General features: G+C 44.7%; 1 long non-coding RNA gene across 1 annotated transcript in view; it reads right to left on the reverse strand.

The window, feature by feature from the left end:
* Positions 1-295: 295 nt before the first annotated feature.
* Positions 296-21,761, reverse strand: part of LOC105378379 (uncharacterized) — a 112,024-nt gene continuing 90,558 nt past the window's right edge. Inside the window, exons 4-5 of the long non-coding RNA XR_946100.2 lie at positions 12,955-13,266; positions 296-902 (exon numbers count right to left, since the gene is read on the reverse strand). This is a non-coding gene — a long non-coding RNA (uncharacterized LOC105378379). The remainder of the gene's footprint in view (positions 903-12,954; positions 13,267-21,761) is intronic.

Here is a 21,761-nt window from a genome sequence, read left to right on the forward strand (position 1 = left end):
TTCACTCTGGGGGTCATGCAAGTGCAGGACCTGCGTCTCAGGGAGGGGGCCTTCTTCCATGAAGTCCCTGGGCCTCTTCTTGCCTCAGCTTGGGAGGCAGCTCTGGGCCTCCCTCTGCCCAGGCTTCACCTCCATGGGTTCTCCTTCTATCCTTTGGCTGTTGCAGCCTCTTTTCCAGAGACCATGAAAAGGGATTGTGAAAGCGACCATGACACTGAGAACACAAGATGATTCATCTGTATCTTTTTCTACATCAGATGAAGTCCAGTTGACATCCCTGCCCACCTGGACTCATGAGAAGTTAGTGTCTGTCCCCTTGGAGCTCCCCCTGCAATTCTCTGATTCATCTGATTCATGGGAGACCCCCATGCTTATGCAATGAAATAAATTAAATGCGGTCCCATTTCCTCCTCTTTATTAATTTATTATTGCATCTGCTAGGACTCTTTCCCATGCCTGCACAGTTCTTTCAGAAAAGGCCAAATCTGCTGGTACCCGCCACCTCACTTCCACTCGTATGTCTCCTGACTCCCTGGATGAAGCGAATATTGAAGGGCCTCTCTTCAGCTCCATTTATATGTTTCTATACCAAACTGAGCTTGTTTGAGAAGAAGTGATGGAGCTGTGGTCTTCACGCAGGTGTCCATGACTCCCTCCTCAAGTCACTAAAGACTTCAGCTCCCTGATGGTGGCCAGGGATAACAACTTCCACCTGCTGAGTGCACACCATGTCTGGGCCTGGCGCAGACACTGTTCCAGCCTGAAGAGGCTGCACAAAAGCTCAGGCATGGCCAGACAGTGCTTGGTTGGAGGGCCTTCTCCTTCCTGGAAACCACCCTGTGTGTAATGTTTGCGTGACATTTCTTGGTTCTTCATAGCTTCACAGGACAGGGTGTAGCATCCTGGTGAATGAAAAAAGCAAGTTGCAGAATGATACATAAAATAAAATGCAATCGTGTTAAGCACACTTGCAATAGGTCTGTATTTTTTTTTCTGGATACATATTTATATATGTAAATACTAGGAAAATGTCTAGAAGGACACACCCCAATCAATACTTCTAGTTGTCTCCCAGGTGACCATTGGATGGGAGGAGCAGTGGTCAAATAATACTTTAGTCTTATCTATAATATTTTGTAAGGAGCAGTTATCTTGATTTTATTTATGCAATTAAAATTAATTTTACAATGAAAGGAAATGGCAAAAAATGGCATACATGCTGTGACAATCTTAGTGACTGCAAGTCTGAGAGTAAAGCCTCTTTCTACCATTTTGTGAGCTAGCTTTGTTACAAAGAAAGTGCTGGGGGAATTAAATGCTAGTTGTGATAGGTAATTTCTCTGGAAGCCTAAGGTCCCACAGCACGGAGGCTAGAGGAATTTTTTTTAAACATATATTTGTTTTATACTGGCAAAAGTGACATATATTCACAGTAGATGATTTTCAAGCTATTGAAAAGTTTTTTTTTTTTTTTTTGAGACTAAGTCTTGCTCTGTCACCCAGGCTGGAGTTGCAATGGTGTGATCTCTGCTCACCGCAACCTCTGCCTCCTAGGTTCAAGCGATTCGCCTGCCTCAGCCTCTCAAGTAGCTGGGATTACAGGTGCGCACCACCATGCCCGGATAATTTTTTCTATTTTTAGTAGAGACGGGGTTTCACCACGTTGGCCAGGCTGGCCTGGAACTCCTGACCGCATGATCTGCCTGCCTCGGCCTCCCAAAGAGCTGGGATTACAGGCGTGAGCCACCGCGCCTGGCTGAAAAGTTTTAAATGGAAAATGGAAACCTCTTGTAATCCACCCATAGAGTCGTAATCATGGTTAACATTTCAGCACAGGGGCTACCGTGGATTTGGACACACCTGGAGTCACACCCCACCTCTGCCATTCACCTGTACCATATAAAACTTAGTCCTGGAGCTGTGAATAGGGAAGATAATACTCAGTCATAGGGCGAGAACTAATTAACTGAGGGTGCTCTGCAGTGAGCGCCAGGAGTGTTCAGTAAATACAAGTACTCACTGTGCACTGGTTGGCAGCGTCACGCCTTCATGTATGTTTTTCCACCAAATTGGGATCATGCAATATACGTTGTATTTATCCCTTTTATCTGATATTTTAACATGCACACTTTTAATGTGGGCACTCTTGAGTCCTTGGGGACACAAGTTGAGCTGTGCCAGGCCAACTTGCAGAGCTGGTGGTGAGAGCTGTGTCCTGCACCTGCTCTGAAGCCATTCATGGCTCCCTGCTGCTGCCAGAGTAAATCTAATTTACTTGGAGTCTGTCTGGGTTCTTCAGACTCTGGCCCTATGCTGGCTGCCCTGCCTTTTCCCCATCTGCTTAGCCTGCTCCCTTTGCATCCAGATTCCCCTGAGTGAGTCATCCTGACACCTCCCAGCCTCCAGCCCCATGCCCGGAACTCTACCTTTCTCCTTGTGTCCATTCAAACCCAGTCTCTCCACTGGGGCTCTTGTCTTCACTGTTCAGGTACAATAATCCCCTCTATTTCTCAGTTCCACATTTTCCAGAGCACTGGTGTGACCCAAACACTTTCGACCTCAATCAGTCAATTTCATTCACTGTTTGGTATTCATTTTTCTCTCCTCAGCTACATTGCATGTCCCTAAAGACTGGGGTGTTGCAATTTGCCACTTTTCTTTTTTTAATTCTAAAAGTTACCTAGGACTGTGCTGAACACATAGGAAACACCCAGATACATGTTGGCTGGTGTTTTTGCACCAGATAATGAGTGACTGGGTGTTTTTTGTTTGTTGCTTTTCCTAGCCTCAGGAATGTCTCCTGGCTGGGTCAGCTGTCAGCTAAGAAACACAGACCTTGTCTCGTGGCATGGATATCTGCAGTTGTTATCTTTCCAGCAGCCATGCCCTTGTTTTTTCATAACCCTTTTCCCATTCTCTGTCCACGTGTTTAGCAATGAAATGGGTCAACCCTGGCTTAGGGATTGAGTCTCATTCCTGGTCACAGTGATTGGTTTAGGATGGACAGAGGACCTACACAATCCAACAAAATACCACCCTGGAACTTTTACTACACAAAAAGGGAGAAATATAAAGGTCTCTCCCTCCTGGTCTTTGTTTTAGAAGATAAGGAGTTCTGGACCTGCCAGCAGCCACCATATGGAGGAATTTTACCTGAGAGCAGAGCCACTACTTGGGAAAACAGTCAAGATATGAAGGGAGTGTTGGATGTGTTACTATTAAGTGGTGGTGTCTGAACCCTGGATCCAGCCAAACCTGCAGCCAAATCCTATCCTTGTTATTTTTAGCTATATGAACCAAAATGTTTTTGGTTTTATTAAATCAGTTTGGCTTAGCTTTTCTGTCACTCATAACTCAAAGACTCTAGGCTTGCCTCAGCCCCTAATTCTAAGACTTCTACTATCTGAACTTCTTTTCCACAGAAACTGAACATTTTGGAGCAGCCATAACAGACCCCAGAGCCCATGTCCATCCTCCTGGCTCTTACCTCCCAAGACCACACAAGGAGCTGCAGATCTGGAGCTGGGACTGAGTGTCTCCAGGACAGGGCTGTGCTGCTCTCCTGAGCCTTTGAGAGGACTGTGGGTGCTCACACAACCCATCACAGCTGTAGGTCTCAGGGAAACAGAGTGGTAATCATATTACAAGGGCTTCCATGGGAAGCTGCAAGGGACTTGAAGTGAGCAATGCACACAGCCTGCTTCCCAGGTACCTTCTGAGAAGTCCAAGGAAACCACATTTTTCTTGCTTTCGTGATTACTGTAAGATAGCAGAGAATCTGCTCCTGGGTGTCAGGTGTGCTGAAACTGGGCAGAAAGCTCTCAGTGCCAGGAACAGCCAAGGGTATCTGCCTCAGCTACACAGGGATAGCTGTTAAACAGGCAACCCACAAGCATGACAGTCACATACACTGCACGCACCTGTCCCGGTGGACAGCAGTTACCTCAGGGGGCCAAATCACAGGGCCCCCACTCCCTAACCCCTGGGGCCATCAACCACGCCACTCGTTCTTGCCAAGCTTGGACACAGACTTGGTCTCTTTCTCAAGGCAGCTCTGGATGACCACAACCAATGTTTGAGAGTTTGAAAGTGAGGTTAAACATTTTTATCAGCTATAGGAAAGGAATTCTGATGTGAAACACTGTAATACCTAATATAGTCACTCAATAAACTCGAGCTTCTAATATCTGAACTGGGGAGGCAGTTAAACCAGGAGGCATTTAGTGTGACTGCCATGTTTCATAGGTTATGGAACGGAGGCCCAGAGAGGGAAAGTTATCAGCCAAAGGTCACTTAGAGTATTCATGGCAGGTCTGAGTCTGCAACTTGGGTCTCCTGATTCCCAGTACAGTGTTCTTTCTACTCCCCTTCGGCTTCTCAAACCTCACCCCTAACTCTGGTCCACAGCTGAATGGATTCTTCCCATGGATCCAGGAGTTCTTGAGTCATCACAGACCACCATCACTATGGGAGAATGCACCATGTTGGTGGAGGCAGCCACACTCTCTTAATACAAAGGACAGGATGCATTAGTCAGTAATGGCCACAACAGTGCTATGTAACAAACCACCCTGGAACTCAGGGGCTTACAATAGCAAGGATATAACCTCATGTTCATGGGTCTGCAGATTAACAGAGAATTGGGTGACCCAGGCTGGACTTGGCTGGACAGGCCTCCTTTGGAATGCTGGTTGGCTGAGGTTGGCTCCAGGATGAGGATTGGAATGCAAGTGGCTTAACATGTGTTCAATCTGTAACTCAAGCTAGAGCCTAGAAGTCTCTTATTGCAAATCAAGGAAGCACACAATAATGAGTGGAAATTTGAAGCCTTTTGAAGCCTTGGCTCAGAACTAGCATGTTATCACTTCTACCTACACTCTGTTGGTCAAATAAAGTCATCCCAATGATATGGATCAGAGGAATAGACTCCATCTCTAGTAGGAACTGCAGAAGTCTCATGACAAAGAGCATGGATATGTGTTCTTATACACAGAAGCGAGGAAGACTTGAGAGCAAACATCTAATCTACCATGTGAAGTTTCAATCTCCCCACATTGTCCCATCTCCATTCTTGAGTCAATGTGCTGCCATCATCCTACATCTTTGCCTCCACCTCCCTTCATTAGAGATGCACAAAGTTGCTTCTTGTGAGTGAGTCTCAGTTAAACTCCTGCATGTGCCATTTAATGCTCCTTCTAGAACACAGCCAATGAAAGGGCTCCTCCCTGCTTTCAGTTTTTCTCAGCTCCAGCCCATCATGGCTAAAGAGCCAGATGAATCTTTCTGAGGTCTAGATTTTTATCAGTCCATACCAGTGTGAAAGGCTTTAATGGCTTCCACCACCCACGACATTGAGCTTTAACCCCCCAGCCTGGCATTCTAATCCTAAAGCATTACACTGCTCTGTCCAACTATTACCTACTGTTAGGTACTGACTGTCCTGGCCTAACTGGACAGAGTGTCCTTCATTTGTCTGCATTTTTTGGTCTCTGTGACCCACTCCATAATATCTCATGCCTTTCTCCCCAGCACCTTACACTGGCTGAGCTCCATGTATTCTGTATCAGTAGGGTTCAACCAGAGAAAGAAAATCAGTAGGAGAGACATATTAAAACATTTATTGCAAAGAAATGGCTAATCCAATTCTGGAGGTTGGCTAGACAACTCTAAAATCTGTAGGACAGGCTATCCAGGAATTCTGTCTCTGGACTACAGATTTTAGAGTTGTCTAGCCAACCTCCAGAATTGGATTAGCCAGAGACATAATTTCTTCTTCTTCTGGGAAGACTTAGCTCTCTTCTTAAGGTCTTTAAACTGATTGAACCAGGCCCACCCAGACTGCCTAGCATAATCTCCCTTACTTAAAGTCAACTGACTATGGACTTTAATCACATCTACGAAGGCTTTCATAGCAGCACCTAGATTAGTATTTGATTGAATAACTGAGGACAGTAACCTAGCCAAGCTGGCACACAAAACTGACCATCACATAAAACAATATACTCCTTGTCAACTTGGAATCTAAACGCATATCCTGAACCCAGGCTTAATCTCCCAGTAAAGATAATAACAAAGTCATACTCCCATCCAACATAACACAACTGTCCTGCATACAACTGAAAACGTGCTAACCCTTCTGCAGAAGAGAATGTGATGTACTTGGGTGATGCCCACTCTTCTCTCGTGATATCCTGTAACTTAAATACTATGACATAAACCTAACTACTATTAATATATACGTGTAATGATAAGAGGATAAGAGAGAAGAAAACAAAATCATTTAATTAATACATGTATATAAACACACAAAGATATATTTATGACAAAATAAGGAAGAATACTCATAATTATAGTCCCCACTTCTGCAACCGGTTACATGATCTTAGCTGCTCTTTATAACTTCTTCCATCACCCATTTCCTTTGTCCTCAGCAAGCACCCCAGCTAGTCATGGTTCTTTGCCTGGTGAAGTGACCCAAATATTTATTCCTGAAGGATCTGGGCTGTTAGCAGTCCTGTCTGAATTGAGTGTCGTAGTTTTCCATTGACTTTGATTCCAGGACATGGTAATACTAAGAGACGTCCCAAGGGATCTCCTGTGTTCCAGACATACTCTTCCTAACCCCTACTGTGTGGTAGCAACCCAGTTGCCCCTTGGCAGTCAGGGCCCATCACCCAGCCAGCCCTGTAACTCCCCTTCTGCCTGTTGATTCAGAGGCATGAGGAGCCCAAGGTAGCTGAGAGACCATCTTAACTTCCAGTTCAATGGGATCATTGTTATGACTCCTGATGGAAGCATTTCTCCCTCTGGAACTAAGACTTCTAGGTCAACAGAGTATAAAGGGGCAGAGATAGAAAGCAAAGACTATGCTAGAGAATCACTAAGGATCAAGGAGAATCTCTTAGAGGATCTGGAGATCAAGGAGTTGGGGTAGCACCCCTTACTCCCATTATAGTCCCATTTCCTAGTACTCCCATTTCTACTCCTTGATCCCTGGACCCATGAATCTCGGCAATGGAAGAAACAGCACCATGTATTGGATGCTGATTTAGAGTAATTTTGCCATTACTTTTAATGGCAAAAACCTCAATTACTTTTTGGCAATAACCGCAATTACTTTTGCACCAACCTAATATCAAGCCAGCTGCTTCAAAATGGCAGAAACATGGCAAGACCAGTGAATTCTGCAAGTGAGTGCTCATGTCTGTACTTCACTCGCTGTGAGATGAGTTCCTTGACCAGAAGCAACTGTGTGGAATACCACGATAAAGAATAAGGTTGTCTCTAAGTCCATGCATGGTAGTTTTGGCAGAAGCACTGAGTGCAGGGAAAGCATGTATATATCCAAAGTAATTGACCATTGAGGAGTTCAGTCTCATCCATTACAGCCCGGGTCACGTTTCGTCTCCTCCATAAAGACTTTAGTAACCTCTCAGACCAATCCAATGCCCATTCATTTGACCAACATTTATAGAGAGCTTTTGTGTGCTGGACACCCTGCTAGGTGCTGGGGAAAAAAACATGATCTCTGCTTTGAAAGAACTTAGGAAATTGTGAAATTGAACAAACAAATTGCTTTTCTGTGTCCTTGCAACCCAGGAGCCATGGGTTTGACCTCAGGACTGGGCAGTTTTCTGTGCCCTGGCAGACTGTGGGTGTCCTGAGGGCACGCTCCACAGTCTCACCCCAACTTGCATAACACTCAGGACATGAGATGTGCTGGAGAATCACTGGCAAGGCCTAGAAAACATGTAACTAATAGTTTCACAGAAGCCACTTCTTGGGATGTGGCCGGTGGGGATTCTGCCCTCTCTAGGGAGGTAGCAAATGTGAGTGGTGCTGTGGGCAAGGCCCTTCCTACCGCCTGCTTGTTGGGTCAGGCTGCACTGGCACTCAGCTCATCAGTCCTTCCACTCAGACAAAATCTACCTCATCTTGTTTAGGACCACATTGTTTCCAGCCAATGCACACAATCAGAGCCAGTCTCAAAGAGGGCAGAGAAAGCCACGTGACCCCACAGGCCACCTACAAACCATACCCTCCTGTCCTGGCTCCTGGAGAAAGTCTTCCCAAAGCCAGTGTTAGTTCCTGCTCCCCCTACCATGCCACCTTTCCTGCCTCTGACCAGCCACTGTACTTTATTGATTAATATTGGCACTATCCATCGGGCATTGCATAGCTACTATATGCCAGGTATTACAAATTTGTCATCTTCTCAAATTCTCATAACAACCAAATATGTAGTCATCCTAAGCTTCATTTACATTTGATTTCCATTCACCTTTAGTTCCTGTACTTTGTCTCAGAGGTGTAGCAAGCCCAGCTGACCTCTGGCACTGCAGGGGAAGAGAAGGAACATTGAGTTGAGAGCTGGATCTAGGCAGGGTAAGCTTGGGCAAGCCATTTCTCCTTTCTGGGCCCTGGATTTTCAGACTGTGAAATAAGACAATATTTGGGCTGAATGATGCCTCAGTCATTTCCCAGGTAAGTTATAAATTTTTAGGTACAGCATAAAAGCCAAAGTGCTGATGCTGTGCCCAGCAAAGATTAACACAACCAAAACTTATGCATTCTACAGAGAGCACTGGTTTCTTTATGAGCCTGCTTTTGAAACAATGTTGTTTGCTTGGAAGCTTCCCACTTACTCCTGTCTTTGCAAACCTATTTTGTGGATGTGTGTGCAACAAAACTGACATAATAGCCATGTGGTAGACCACAGTATTGGACCTAATTTTTTTGCCCTTCCCTGTGTCCATGAGTGGGTCAGGCTTCCTTGTCTCTTTGCGTTCAGCCATGGGACTTGCTTTGGGCAGTGGGCAGAGGCGATGGTGTCACCAGAGGCCGTGCACTCTTCTGCTTGCATTCTTGCTCCTCTGCCATCACAATGAGACAAATAAACCCAGGCTTATTGACTGGTCCCAGGAGGAGGATGAGGATCATATGATACAGAGCTACTCTTAGCCAATCCAGCCTGGACCAGCTGCCCCAGCCAACCTGCAGACACATGAACCAAATCAGTTCTTTGTCATACATGGCTGAGAATATCTGATGGTTTGTTACTCAGCCTTTTTGTGGCAGTAGCTCACTGAAATGGACACCTAGAAAGGTATTTATAATCCAGCCCCTCACATCCAGATGAGCTTTAGTGTTGATCTTGGCAATACCTCCCCCACATCACCAATCTAACATGTAATTCTGTCTGTTGGCCACACTTCGCATGCCTGCAAGTGTGAGGAGCTCACTGTTTCCTGAGGCAGCTGCACATTTGGAAATATAACTGCTGAACTTCTTCATAAGAAGTCAACTCACTCTCTCTTAACTTCTGCTTTTTGGCCCCCAGGGCCACACAGAATTGAATACTCCTCTTTTCTTCCTGACAGCTGTTCAGAGGTGTGAAAAGTGCTCTCACATTCTCCCATATATTTACTGTTAGTGCTAAACATCCCCTTGTCGCTGGCCATCTCTCACCCCTGTTACAAAGCTCAGCCCTGGGCCATTCCTGCAGCTCCACCAAACTGGGTCGGCTCCATCTTTCTCCTGCTTCACAAGCCCGGAGAAAAACAAAATAGCACAGGTGCATCCATCAGAGCAGAACAGCAAAGGGCTGTCCCTGCCCTCTCCCTGGACACTGCTGATGTCCCGTGCAGTGAGAGCTCTTTGGACTGCCACAGAACATCAATCACATCGATCCTGAGCTGGCCCCAGACAACAAACCGAAGGCATTCTCACACATGCTGTCACTACACCAGTCCTCTGCCCTCCTGAAATTTCAGATTCCCAGGTGTCCAAGGCATTTGGAAGAAAGAAAAGTCTACACTTTCTAACCACTCTTATCTACCAGTGTTCCTAGGAGTGGGAAACAGTTGGAAATCATCTCCAAAGCAGGCAGCAGGGATTGAGCCATTTATGTAGGAGCCCTCCAGTCCCTGGGAAGTGGGAGCCAGGCTGGGCCCTCTCAGGTCAATTGTATACCTTGTCTCAGAGCCTCTCGCCCCTGAACTGATGGAGAAGGATCCTCTTAGGACCTGCTGGCGCTTGAGAGTTAAGCTGCAATGAGCTCAAACCAGTTTCAGGGAGAAGTTTTCTCAGTTTAATTCCTGACATTCAGGGCCTTGTCATCAATTACTTGGCCACTTGGCTGGAGCATGGCAGCACTGTAAATGTGTGCATACTCTGGGTGCCTGGAGGCCCACGGATCATAAGGCACAGGCCATTTGGCCCACAAGCCAAGCGGAGCCTTGTTTACAGAAGCACCTGTGGGCAAGTGGGCATCCCGTGTCCCAGTGGCCTAGAACCAGGAACCCGGTGACTGCCTGGCCCAAGATGGCCCTCTTGCCTTAGCAACAGCTTGGGTAATTGCATTCCTTTCCATAGTGGCTGTTTAATTATTCATTATCCAACTTGGTCAGGGAGGGGTAGCTTCTTCTGTACCCAGGCTATATCTGTGAAGTCACAGAATCCAGGGCTGGAAAGGAAGTGAAAGATAATCTTGTCTAATTCAGGCTGGATTTTTTTTCTGCAAACTGTCTCTCTTACATTCCTCCTATCAAAGGAAGCTCATGACCTGCCCAAAACAGCTTATCATGATGTGAAATCTCCTTCCTATGGCTTCTACCCACTGCGCCCATATCTGCCTCCTGCAACCCATAAACCAAATCCCAATCCTGTAAAGAGCCTATTGGTGAAAACATTACCCACTGTTCTATACCTGTCTTCTTTAAGCCAAATAGCTCCAGTCCCTTCAACTATCTGCACTGTCCTCTGTGGCAAGGTTTCTGGCCCACCATACCCAGGACTCCCCTCTGTGGATGTTTCAGGAGACAATAGCATCACCCAAATGCATCATGGTGGCTGGTGTGGCATGTAGATCATCAGACAGGGAGCAGGACAAGGCAGCTTTGTTGCCCACAATCTTTCTTATGCCATTTGTTTCTTAAGCCTGTCCCTCCACCTGGAAAATGAATGGTCCACTCACTGTCAGTGACATAATTTAAGTGAGATGACCAGCGTGGGGGTAAGTCTCAGCACACACCAGTGACTTTGTTGACACCAGGATCCCATGACTACCGTTGAGCAAGAAAACCATCCTTTTGTGAACAGTGCCATGAATATGGGGCTGGCCAGCCTTGCAGACCTGCTCTTCCTAAGAGCCACAGCCCAATAAAGGGAGCCAAGACAAAGAGGAGGGGTCTTTACCCAGTGCATTAGTCAGAGCACTTCAGAAAAAGAGAAGCAATAGCACGTGTGGGTATATAGAACCAGATTTATTTTAGGGAATTGGCTAATGTGATTCTGAGTCCAAAATCTGATCGGGGAGGTCAGTAGGCAGGAGACTCAGGAAAGGTTGACAGTTTGAGTCCACAGGCAGTCTGCTGGGGAGGAAGGAAGAGGCAATGTTGTAGAGGAAGAACCAAGGCCTCTGCTGGTATAGTTCTCCCTGGAGATCAGTCTTCCATTCTACCCAGGCCTTCAACTGATTGGATAAGGCCCACCCACATTATGGAGGGTGGTCTGTTTTACTCAAAATCCACCAGTTTAAATGTAAATATGATCCGAAACACCCTCACAGGAACATCCAGAATAATATGTGACCACATATCTCGATCCAACTAAGTTGACACATAAAATTAACCATCACACCCAGGAAGACTCTTATCCAGTGACAGGGCACACAGAATGCAGGACGGACTTGGGATGTTCTTGCCAAGAACAACAATAAAAATGCCACCAAAAGCCTTTCTCAAATGGCAGTCTGTCTGTCAAGTTTACATTATCTAAAGACAACACCTGATGTTCACCACACCATTGACTACAATAAAAATGGTTACAAAGTATAGCACTGCCATTCAGCCATCAAAACTGATGTGGTGTTGTATATGAATACTTAGGTGGGAAGATGTTTATATATGTATATATACATATATGTATATATTGAAGCATCACAAGATATATGTGTAATTGATAGCCATGTATAATAAAGGTATTGATTTTATTCATCAAGATGGTAGCAGCATTTCTCTCCAGATATGTAAATGATGGGTTTCTTCCTTTTTTTCTCTTGCATGTATTATGCAGCATCCCCATTAATATCCTGCATTACTTGCCAGAGAACACAATAAATACAAGTTTTTGAAGTAAACAAAATGATTTTATGCAGTCATTTCTGTCACCTAACAATGCAGAAAACTGCAATATATTTATATAACATTTGTCTGAGTTATTTTCCAGCAAAATTTAACTAAACTTTTACATGCCACAGCCTGTGGGTTTTGTTGTTGATGTTGCTATTTTGGTTAAAAAGTGTTTTCAATGTTTTTGATCAGATGTAACAAAGCACTCCATAAAAGCTATTAAGTACTGTGCACATATCAGTTATTTCTAGAAGACATTCTGTTCTTAAACAGTGGCTGTCTTGTTCCACTCCTGCTGCTATAACAAAACACCTTAGACTGAGTAATTTACAAAGAACGGAAGTGTATTGCTCACAGTTCTAGAGGCTGGGAAGTCCAAAATCAAGGCACTAGCAGATTCAGTGTCTGGCGAAGGCTGCTCTCTGCTTCCAAGAGGGTGTCTTATGGCTGCACCCTCTGAAGAGGATGCAGCTGTGTTCTCACATGGCAGAAGGGATGGAAGGACAAAGGGACAGATAGCTCCCTAGACCTCTTTTATGAGGTCATTAATCCCATTCATGAAGGATCTGCCCTCATGACTTAATCATTTCCTAAAGGCCCTACCTCTTAATACCATCACACTGGTGATCAAGTTTCAACATATGAATTTAAGGGTAACACATTCAGACCACAGCACTGGCCATAGTTAACTCCTTCGCAGTCGTATTAACAAATAATCATCCCACATTTTCTGCTCTTAGCTGTCATTTCTGGTGAATCTTCAGGGCTCTTATCTGTAATATTTTTCACAACAACTGTGTGTCCATGGGAAGAAACATCTCACCTCTTATCTGGAGTCACATGCATGGTCTTTATAACTGCTGTTTCTCAACTTCTGGTCAATAAGGCCTTACTGTGTATGGGTTTCTCAACCTTGGCACTGTTGACATATTGGGTTGAAAAATTCTTGTGAGGGCCGTCCTGTGCACTGTAGGATCTTCAACAGCATCTCTGGCCTCTACGCACTAGACTCCAGTAGCAAACTTCAAGTTGTGACATCTAAAAATGTCTCTAGACATTGATAAATATCCCCTGGGGGAGCAAAATCACCCCTGGTTGAGAATTGCTGCTGTATTTTGTTAATGATCCACATACCCTAGAGCAACAGAGGAGGAAAGAATGATCAGATAAGCGTCCGGAAGGACATAGAAATTCCTTTGCCCATGTAGCACCCCCACTCCTCCCTATGCCCGTCTGATTGGATCTGACTGACCTGTGCTCTCTGGAGTCCAGCTCAAAGCTCTTTTAGAGAGACCCACACTGCTGTAACCAGGGCCACCTAGGCCATCTACCTGCTAGCAGCATTGGTCTGAGGCCATATCAACACAGAAGCCAGTGGAGAGAGGGTGCTGGGAAGAAGAAACCATGAGTGCATGGGGAAGTGGGAAGATGCAGACACATTTACAAGGCATTCAAACAGCCAAAGGAAGCTCAAAGTAGACAAGAAGGCCATGGGGATGGGGATGTCTCTCTTGCTGGGCCTGGATCTCAGAGGGTCTGGTCCCCTAAGTTAGCCAGATCACAGGTCCTCCTTCCCCCTGTTCCCTAAGAGCTGGGCCTGCAGGCGGGGATGCCATTTTAACCATACAGGGATTGGGGGAAAAGGAAAGGAAAATGCCATTCCAGATCTCCTTCACGCCTGCCTCTGTAACTTTTGTGCTATTTTCAGTTTTGGCATGAAAAAAAAAAACACACCCTGATCAGAGCCTAGGGAGCAGATGAAGGGGATCATGCTTGACATGTAATCAGTACGGCTTCATGGCTCTGAGAGGTACCCTTGATCTGGCCTCCAGCTTTTCTTGGCTCATTCAGAGCCTGGGAGCAGTCCATTCCACATACAATCTCAGAACACAACTCCCTCAGCTTGGAGCTCAAACACCTTCAATGGCTCCCTGCTTTCTGCAAGATAAATCTCAACTGCACGGCATGGTCTTCGTGTGAGATTCCTGCAGCTGCTGTAATGAATGACCAACAGCAGTGTGGCTTAAAACAACAGAAGTGTATTCTCGTACACTTCTGGGGGCCATAAGTCTAAAATCAAGGTGTTAGCAGGGCTGGCTCCTTCAGGAGGCTCTGTGAGAGAAGGCTCCAGGCCTCTCTCCTGGCTTCTGAGGTTGCTGGCCATCCTTGGCATCCTTAGCTTGCAGCTGCATCACCTGACCTCTGCCTCCATCCTCACATGACCTTCTCTCCATTGTTTTGTCTTCTCTCCTCTTTTTCTTAAGAGAACATTGGATTGTCATTGCATTTGGAGCCCACCTGGATAATCCAGGATGATCTCATCCTTACCTTAGTTATATCTACAAAAACCTTTATTCCAAATAAGGTTACATTCACACAGTCTAGCTGGGCATTGTTTTTGTGGGGGGGGCATTATTCAACTCAGTAAAGTCTTCAAGGGCCTCCAAAGGAGGCTTCATTCATTTGTTCACTCACTGATCCATTGATTCAGTTGATGACCCATGCTTGGCACATACCCTTCTGGGCCAACCTCCTGCCTGCTTTTCATGGATCCTGTTCCATTTCCCTTTTCCCCTATTCTCCACCCCTTCTCAGGGCCCAGCTATATTCCCATCCCCTCCAGGAAGTCTTCCTTGACTTTTAGCCCACACTGATGTGCCCTTTAGCAACATAACTCCATTCAGATCCCTGTCTGGCTTACTGCAATCTGATGACTGGCTGGGGCTGTCTTTGCAAGGCCTCCTGCAAGTCACTCACCAGACATGTATCGACCTCAGCTTAGGTAGAATCAGAAATAATCCACTCTGAAGTACAAACTGTGCCTGCCCAGGTGTGTTCAGGGGTAAGGGACAGAGTGGGGAGGAAAGTCCCTACCACCAGTAACTTACAAATTATAGCCACTGTGAGTCTCTCTTTTCTCCTCACTACCCTACAATTCCCACTTCACCTATGAGAAGGCAGGATCTGCAGTTCCTTGGCTTATTCAAATTCATGAAACGAGTCAGCAGCAGCCCTAGGACTGGAGACATGTTTACATGTAATCCCATCACCAGACCTCAGAGAGGATGGCTGGGACAGAAGTCCCTGCAAACAGACTTCAGTTATTGGCACTTGTCACACTGTTTCATTTACAAACACTCCTCCTTCCACATAGATTTCCTTCCATCTTCTGAGTCTGCTGTCACTGTTTGTTGGCAAAGGCCCCCCCGGTCAAATGCCAGTGACTAGAGAAGCAGCCTCCAGGTAGCCTTGAGTGGTCCTCGCAGTGTGGTTCATGGGCAGGGCTTCACATGGGACAGGCTCCTCCCACTTACCAGCGGAGGGACCTCCCACCCCCAGAGGCTGCACAGAGGCATAGGAAGACCTTCCCACTCCTGAACCCCTTCCCTCTCCAGCCACCTTGCCTTGCTCGCCAGGGTTCATCATTGCACCGTTCATTGCTGCCATGCTATTCCTTCTGCCCAGAAAGCAACCCCTCCCTATCAACCCTACTCACTGTCAACACTCATAGCAGATGCCATCTTCACTGCCATCCCTGCCTGTCCCAGGTTCCCTCCACTCTGTGTTCATGCTCCCACTGTAAGCACTCAGCCCGTTGTGTTACAAAAGGAGAGTCCCTTCTCGATCTCCTTCACACGTGCCTCTGCAATTCTGTGTTAGAGCTGACCCCTCGGCCACACCCAGCACCCAGAGAGTTGGATGATGGTCATTCATCTTTGTTACCTGGCCCCAAGATGGGGCCAAGAAGTCATAGAGGTGGCTCTCCTTGTTTTCAGCAATTTACTTGTTCTAGGCTATGACTTCATAGCGATCTCTGTTTATCAGAATCATTCGTGCATTTATTACAAGCACCTAGGCTCTCAAAATAAGCCTTGGGGCTCCCTCCCTTCCACCTTCCTGTTCCTAACTGTGGCTAAAACAGGACAGTTGAGGAAAACATGAGGGATACATGTCCACAATAATACGTCTTCCCAGACACATTCTTTAATAGCAAAGTCAAGAAACCCTTCCACTAGTTTCACAAAAGACTGAATCTGCCCCTTGACTCTAGCTCTGTGAGTAGTACCTTTATTTTATGGATAAAAATGTGGATAGACTAGAGAAGATTCCAAGAAAAACAAATGAAATTTCAAGAATGCATGACAGTAACCAAAAGCATTTACTTATTTACTTACCTTTTTTTTTATTTAAACAGTTTTTTTGGGGGTAAAATTGCCACACAGTAAGCTACACAGATTTAGAGTAAATAATTTGATAAATTTTGACAAACGTACACACTGTAAAGCCATCAAGATAGTGAATATTTCCACTGCTCTCCCGCCAAAGTTTCCTCTGGCTCTTCCATAGCCCTCCTAACCCCGCCCCCTCAACCACTGAAGCACTGTGACTACAGATTAGTTTGCATATCCTAGAATTGTATACAAATGGATCATTGAGTGAATATACACTTTTGTCTAGCTTATTTTAATCCTCATAATTATTTTAAGATTCATCCAGGTCATGGTGTGTATCAATTATTCATTCCTTTTTATTACTGAGTAGTATGCCATTATGAAGATATATCATTGTAAAGATATACCATTCATCTGTTGATTGACATTTGGATTTTTCCCAGTTTGGGGCTATAGTTAATAAAGCTGCTATGAACATTAGTTTACAAGTTTTGTAAAAACATGTGTTTTAATTTCTCTTGGGTGAATACCGAAGACTGAATGGCTGGGTCATATGGTGTGTGTATGATTGGCTTTCCAAGAAATTTACAAACTGTTTTCCAATGTGATTGTGCCATTTTATATACCCACCACTGTGTGTGAGGGCTCTGGTTCTTTCCCATAGTCACCGACAGTGTTTTAGTTTTACCCACTCTAATAAACAGTAGTATCTTATTATGGTTTTAATTTGCATTTCCCTAGTTACTAATGATGATGAGCATCTTTTCATGTATTTGTTTTCCGTCCATACATCTTCTTTGGTAAAGCCTCTATTCAAATAGTTTGCTCAGTTTTTTTTATTGGGTTGTTTTCTTATTATTGATTTTTGGAAGTTCTTCAAATATTTGGACACAAGTTCTATATTTCCTCCAAGTGAGTGCCTTGTTTTCCTTTTTTTCATTTTCTTAAGAAAAAGAGCAGAAGTTTTTAATTTTGCTGAAGTTCCATTTATCAGCTTATTACTTCGTAACTGTAAGATTATTGATTTAAAACAAAGAAAGCTGAGTGGCTTACAGTATCTAATAATTCAAAGTTTATGCCAAGCCTACTATGTGCCAGGAACTGTTTGGCCCCAAGGAGAAAAAAGTACAAGACATGATGCCTGTTTACACAGAGCTCAATGCACAGTAGGGGAGGTGAAGGGAGAACCTGATTAAATTCGATCCACATTATTGGCACCAGGAGAGAGGGACAAAGAGGGTCATGGAGTTCATGGGAGGCAATGGAAGGAAAAAGGTATGAGAAAGTAAGGTGGGCATTTTCAGCTGGGTCTCACCCTGAGCTCAGGCTTTAGGAAGAAAATTTTCCTTGGCTTTTGGTTTGTTTCTGGGAAGGCCATCCTGATCATTTGCTTTGTTCATTTCCAAGGAGGATGAAATGTTGAGCAACGGACCTCAATGAAAGCAAGAGAGGTTTGGATCAAATATGGAGCAGAGCTTGATAAAGAGGATGTCAAGACAAGGGGAAAAAAAAGACCAAGAAAGAAGGGGGAAGGAAGATTAGTGGCAAAGAAATATCAAGGGAAGTCTCGACTCATAAAATAGAAATTAATGGATTACAGAGCAAGGACATTAAGAAAGATCTTTAAGAGGTTGCAGGAAATGGGGGAATTAGGGCAAAGCTGAGCTGTCATGTGGAACATTTTACATAACAAACTACTGGTTAAAGCTAATATAAGCTTTATATTATAAAGGGTAAGAGACAGCATGTGCCCAAGAGAGGAGAAATGAGAGACAGGATAATAGTCAGGATCCAAGCCCTGACTCAGAGGCAGCTCACTTGGCTGTGTACTCAATACTCCTAGAGGCCAGGCTATTGTCATCTGGAACTTGGGTCACTTACATGGGCTTGGAACAGAATCCACCAGTCCAGGATGATTTGGTGGATGGAGGGCAGATTTTTTTTTTACTGCAGCATCTTCAGAAGGCCTTTTCAGGTAGTATTTACCTTGGAAGTTGCTTCTTTCCCAAGGGGAAACATTAAAAAATCAGGAGCTACAAACATCTTATCTTCTGCTGTAATGTAGCTTGGAAGTGCAGCAGAGTGCCAGTGGAGAATGGAGAGGGGCTCAGCCAGAGAAATTGCTCCTCGCATATACACTCAGTGAACTGTGTCGCAAAGGGTAAGTCTTCTCAGTTCCAGCATCTGATGGTCATGACGCATGCTGACTGGTAGGAATGGGGATAGCCAGGGTTAGAGACAAGGAGTTGGTGGAGAATTTCCACCTAACATGTAAACTGTGTGATAACAGCTGAAGACGCCATCTGCAGTTGGAATAAAAACCCAGACATGGCCATTCCAACACAAGGCATTGGGGAACATGGGACAGCGAGGGGTACAGGGCATGAGAAGATGACACCAAACCAAAGATGGGAAGCAGACAATCTCATGGCTATCCCGAGGTCTTTTGTTTTTCTGTCTCTACAACTTTAACCCCGGAGCTGTCAATGCCTCTGTTTCCTCTGTGCAATTGAACACAAGGGAACACATACTCCATCTCACGCAGCATCCTCCATCATTCTCAACTATTTTAGTGGAGATTAAAACTGCAGCTAACTGGAAGGTAAAATAAGACTGTGGCTTAAATAAGAGAAAAGCTTGTGTATTTTTTATATAAAAGTCTGGGCAGGCAAATCAAGGGCCAATATTGGGTCCCATTGGGTCAGGGACCCAGGAACTTTCTAGATCTCTATCTCGCCATCTCTGCAGTGTGGCCCTTGCTCTCATAGTCCAAGGCATTTATGTTCCAGGAGAGAGAAAATGGTGAAGAAAGAGGTAAAGGGTGCACTCCAGGTCTCTCAAGGAAAGGACGTGGAAGTTATCACAGGACAGGCACTTCTGCTAACCTCCCACTGACCGGGACTTAGTCACATGGCCATGCAATGTGACTGGGAAGCACAGTCCTGATTCAGAGCAGCCACGCACCCTAATAAACATTCTAATCCAGTGGGAGAAGGGGAAATGGATCTTGGACAACTAGTAGTCTGACATGTTGACTAATCAGTCACAAAGTCCTAAATAAGGGAAAACACAAAGACATCATCATGTATTGACCTGCACGCTACTTGGCAATTGCCATGAAGTTTCTGGCACCCAGAGTGGGCACACCAAATAAATAATTCCCCATTAGAGGAGTCTGGGAGGGCAAAGCAGAAGCTAGGACTTGAAAGGGAGTTTATAGGACAGAGTTAAAAAGGAAAGGGGCAAAGCGAGGGTGGAATCATGCTCTGGGGGCTATGTTCTCCAGTGTAGCTGAGAAGCTGGGGAACCTGGGGGAATAATGAGGAGAAAAGCAGCAATTTGAGTGTGCACATTGGGAGAAAAGTCGAGAGAGAGAAAGAACAGAAATGGAGTATGGCACATGAGCCGAGTGATGGGTTGGGGTTTTTGTCTTTTGATGGTAGGGAAAGAACTTCACATTGAATAAGTTCTTCTTAAACACTTGCTCTATGCACGGTCTCATATTGGGACCATGAAATAAAGGAGGAGAAACAAGACAGAGTCCCTGCCCTCAGGGAACTTCCAGTCTCAGCATGTAAACTTGTATACCTTACAATGCTATATAGTACTTTTGAACCGACCTCTTCAAAAATTTCATCTTAGTTTATAAACATGGTAGCTGAAATATTTACCAAACAGATATTCAATAGATCAAGATCTGACATCAGACACTGGCTTTTAACTCATCCTCTGTCACCTACATGGTGACTTTTTAGCACCAAAAGTTCCATATCCTGGACAAACTGAGATGGTTGGTCACCCTTGCTATGTATAAGCTTCATGTTCTTGGGCAAGTTACTTGACCTCTTCCGATCTCAGTTTCTTCAACTGGAAAATGGGAATAATAATCATTTTGGCCTTTCATGATAGTCATGGACATTAAATGGGAATATGTTAATCGGGCTTAGCAGAGTGCCTAGCACAAGTGTTAATATTATCCTTTATGGTTACTCTTAATAGAACTGTTATGGAGCTGATGGAGTCACATATATTTTACCCACAATCTTCTGGATGAAAACTACATGCTGCACTGGAATAAGTGAACTTGAGTATTTATGATGGTTTTGTAACATATTTCTCAGGAATGGCAAGGAGCTACTGTTACTGGAAAATTTTCTTTTCAAATTCAATATACATCTCCAATTTCCCTTCTTTCATCTTCTCTGTATACTAATCATTTTTCCCATTGTCATGGGATCTGAAATAAGAATATCTTGTGAACATCCATGTAAAGTAATTGTCTGAAATGTTATAATAAATTTGCTTTTAAAAGGCAATTTCAAGTAGGTTATAGGAATGATAGGAAAATCTTTTTTAAACTTCCTGTTTTTATTCACTCCTTCTTTCAATGAGTATTTAATTGTGCTATTATTCGCTGTCAAGCAACATGCCAGGCGCTGGGTACACAAGAATAAAAAGCCCCAATCTCTGCTCTTAAGGAACTCCCCTGAAGAGATGGATCATATATTGCATATGAGCAATAAATACAGAGATGCAGGTGCTCACCAGGCTGATGAGAATCCCTCAATGTACTTGACAGAATCAGATAGAGTTTCTAAAAGAAGTATTGGATGAGCTAACTCCTGCATTCCAGGTGAACAGAGAAGGTGCATAATGGGAAAGGCACTGAAGTAAAAAGCCCCAGCGCCGTTCAGGTGACTATTGGGGTTCAGATGATGCAGAAGAGGGTGGTGGAGACTTTGTTGGCAAATTCATCCAACAAATATTTGCTGAGTACCTATTATATGAATGGTATCATTGAATATACAAGACACAGATGCTGTCCTTGGAAAGCTTAGGACTTAGAAGGGGAAATAAGATGCACACACAAACAACTAATGCAAGATACCTGTTATGGATTGAATGTTTATGCTTCCCTCAAATTCATATGTTGAAGCCCTAACCCCCAGTGTGGCTGTATTTGGAGACGGAGGCTCTAAGGAAGTAAATAAAATTAATTGAGGCCATAAAGTTGGGGCTCTGATCCCATAGGATTAGTGTCCTTGTAAGAAGAGGCACCAGAGAGTGCTCCCTACCCCACACCCCAAACTGAGCATGCACTGAGGAAAGTGAGAAGGTGACTCTCTGCAAGTCAGGAAGAGAGCCTCACCAGACACCGAACTGGCTGGAACCTTGTTCTTGGACTACCAGCTTCCAGATGTGAGAAAATTAACCCCCGTTGTTTAACTCATCCAGTCTGTGGTATTTTGTTATAGCAGCCTGAGCTGACTAATACCAATAGCCATGATGTGACACAGGGGGAAGGAACAAAGTAGCACTGAACTCAGAGGAGTGGAGATATCTGCTGCCTCAGGGAGCCAGAACCAACTTGCAGGTGTTTAGGTGAACTTGATAGTAGGAGAACATTCCAGCTATTGGAAGTGTCCTGGGCTAGCTGGTAGCATGAAAACTCACAGCT

Source organism: Homo sapiens, chromosome 10, assembly GCF_000001405.40.
Source record: "Homo sapiens chromosome 10, GRCh38.p14 Primary Assembly".
NCBI lineage: Eukaryota > Metazoa > Chordata > Mammalia > Primates > Hominidae > Homo > Homo sapiens.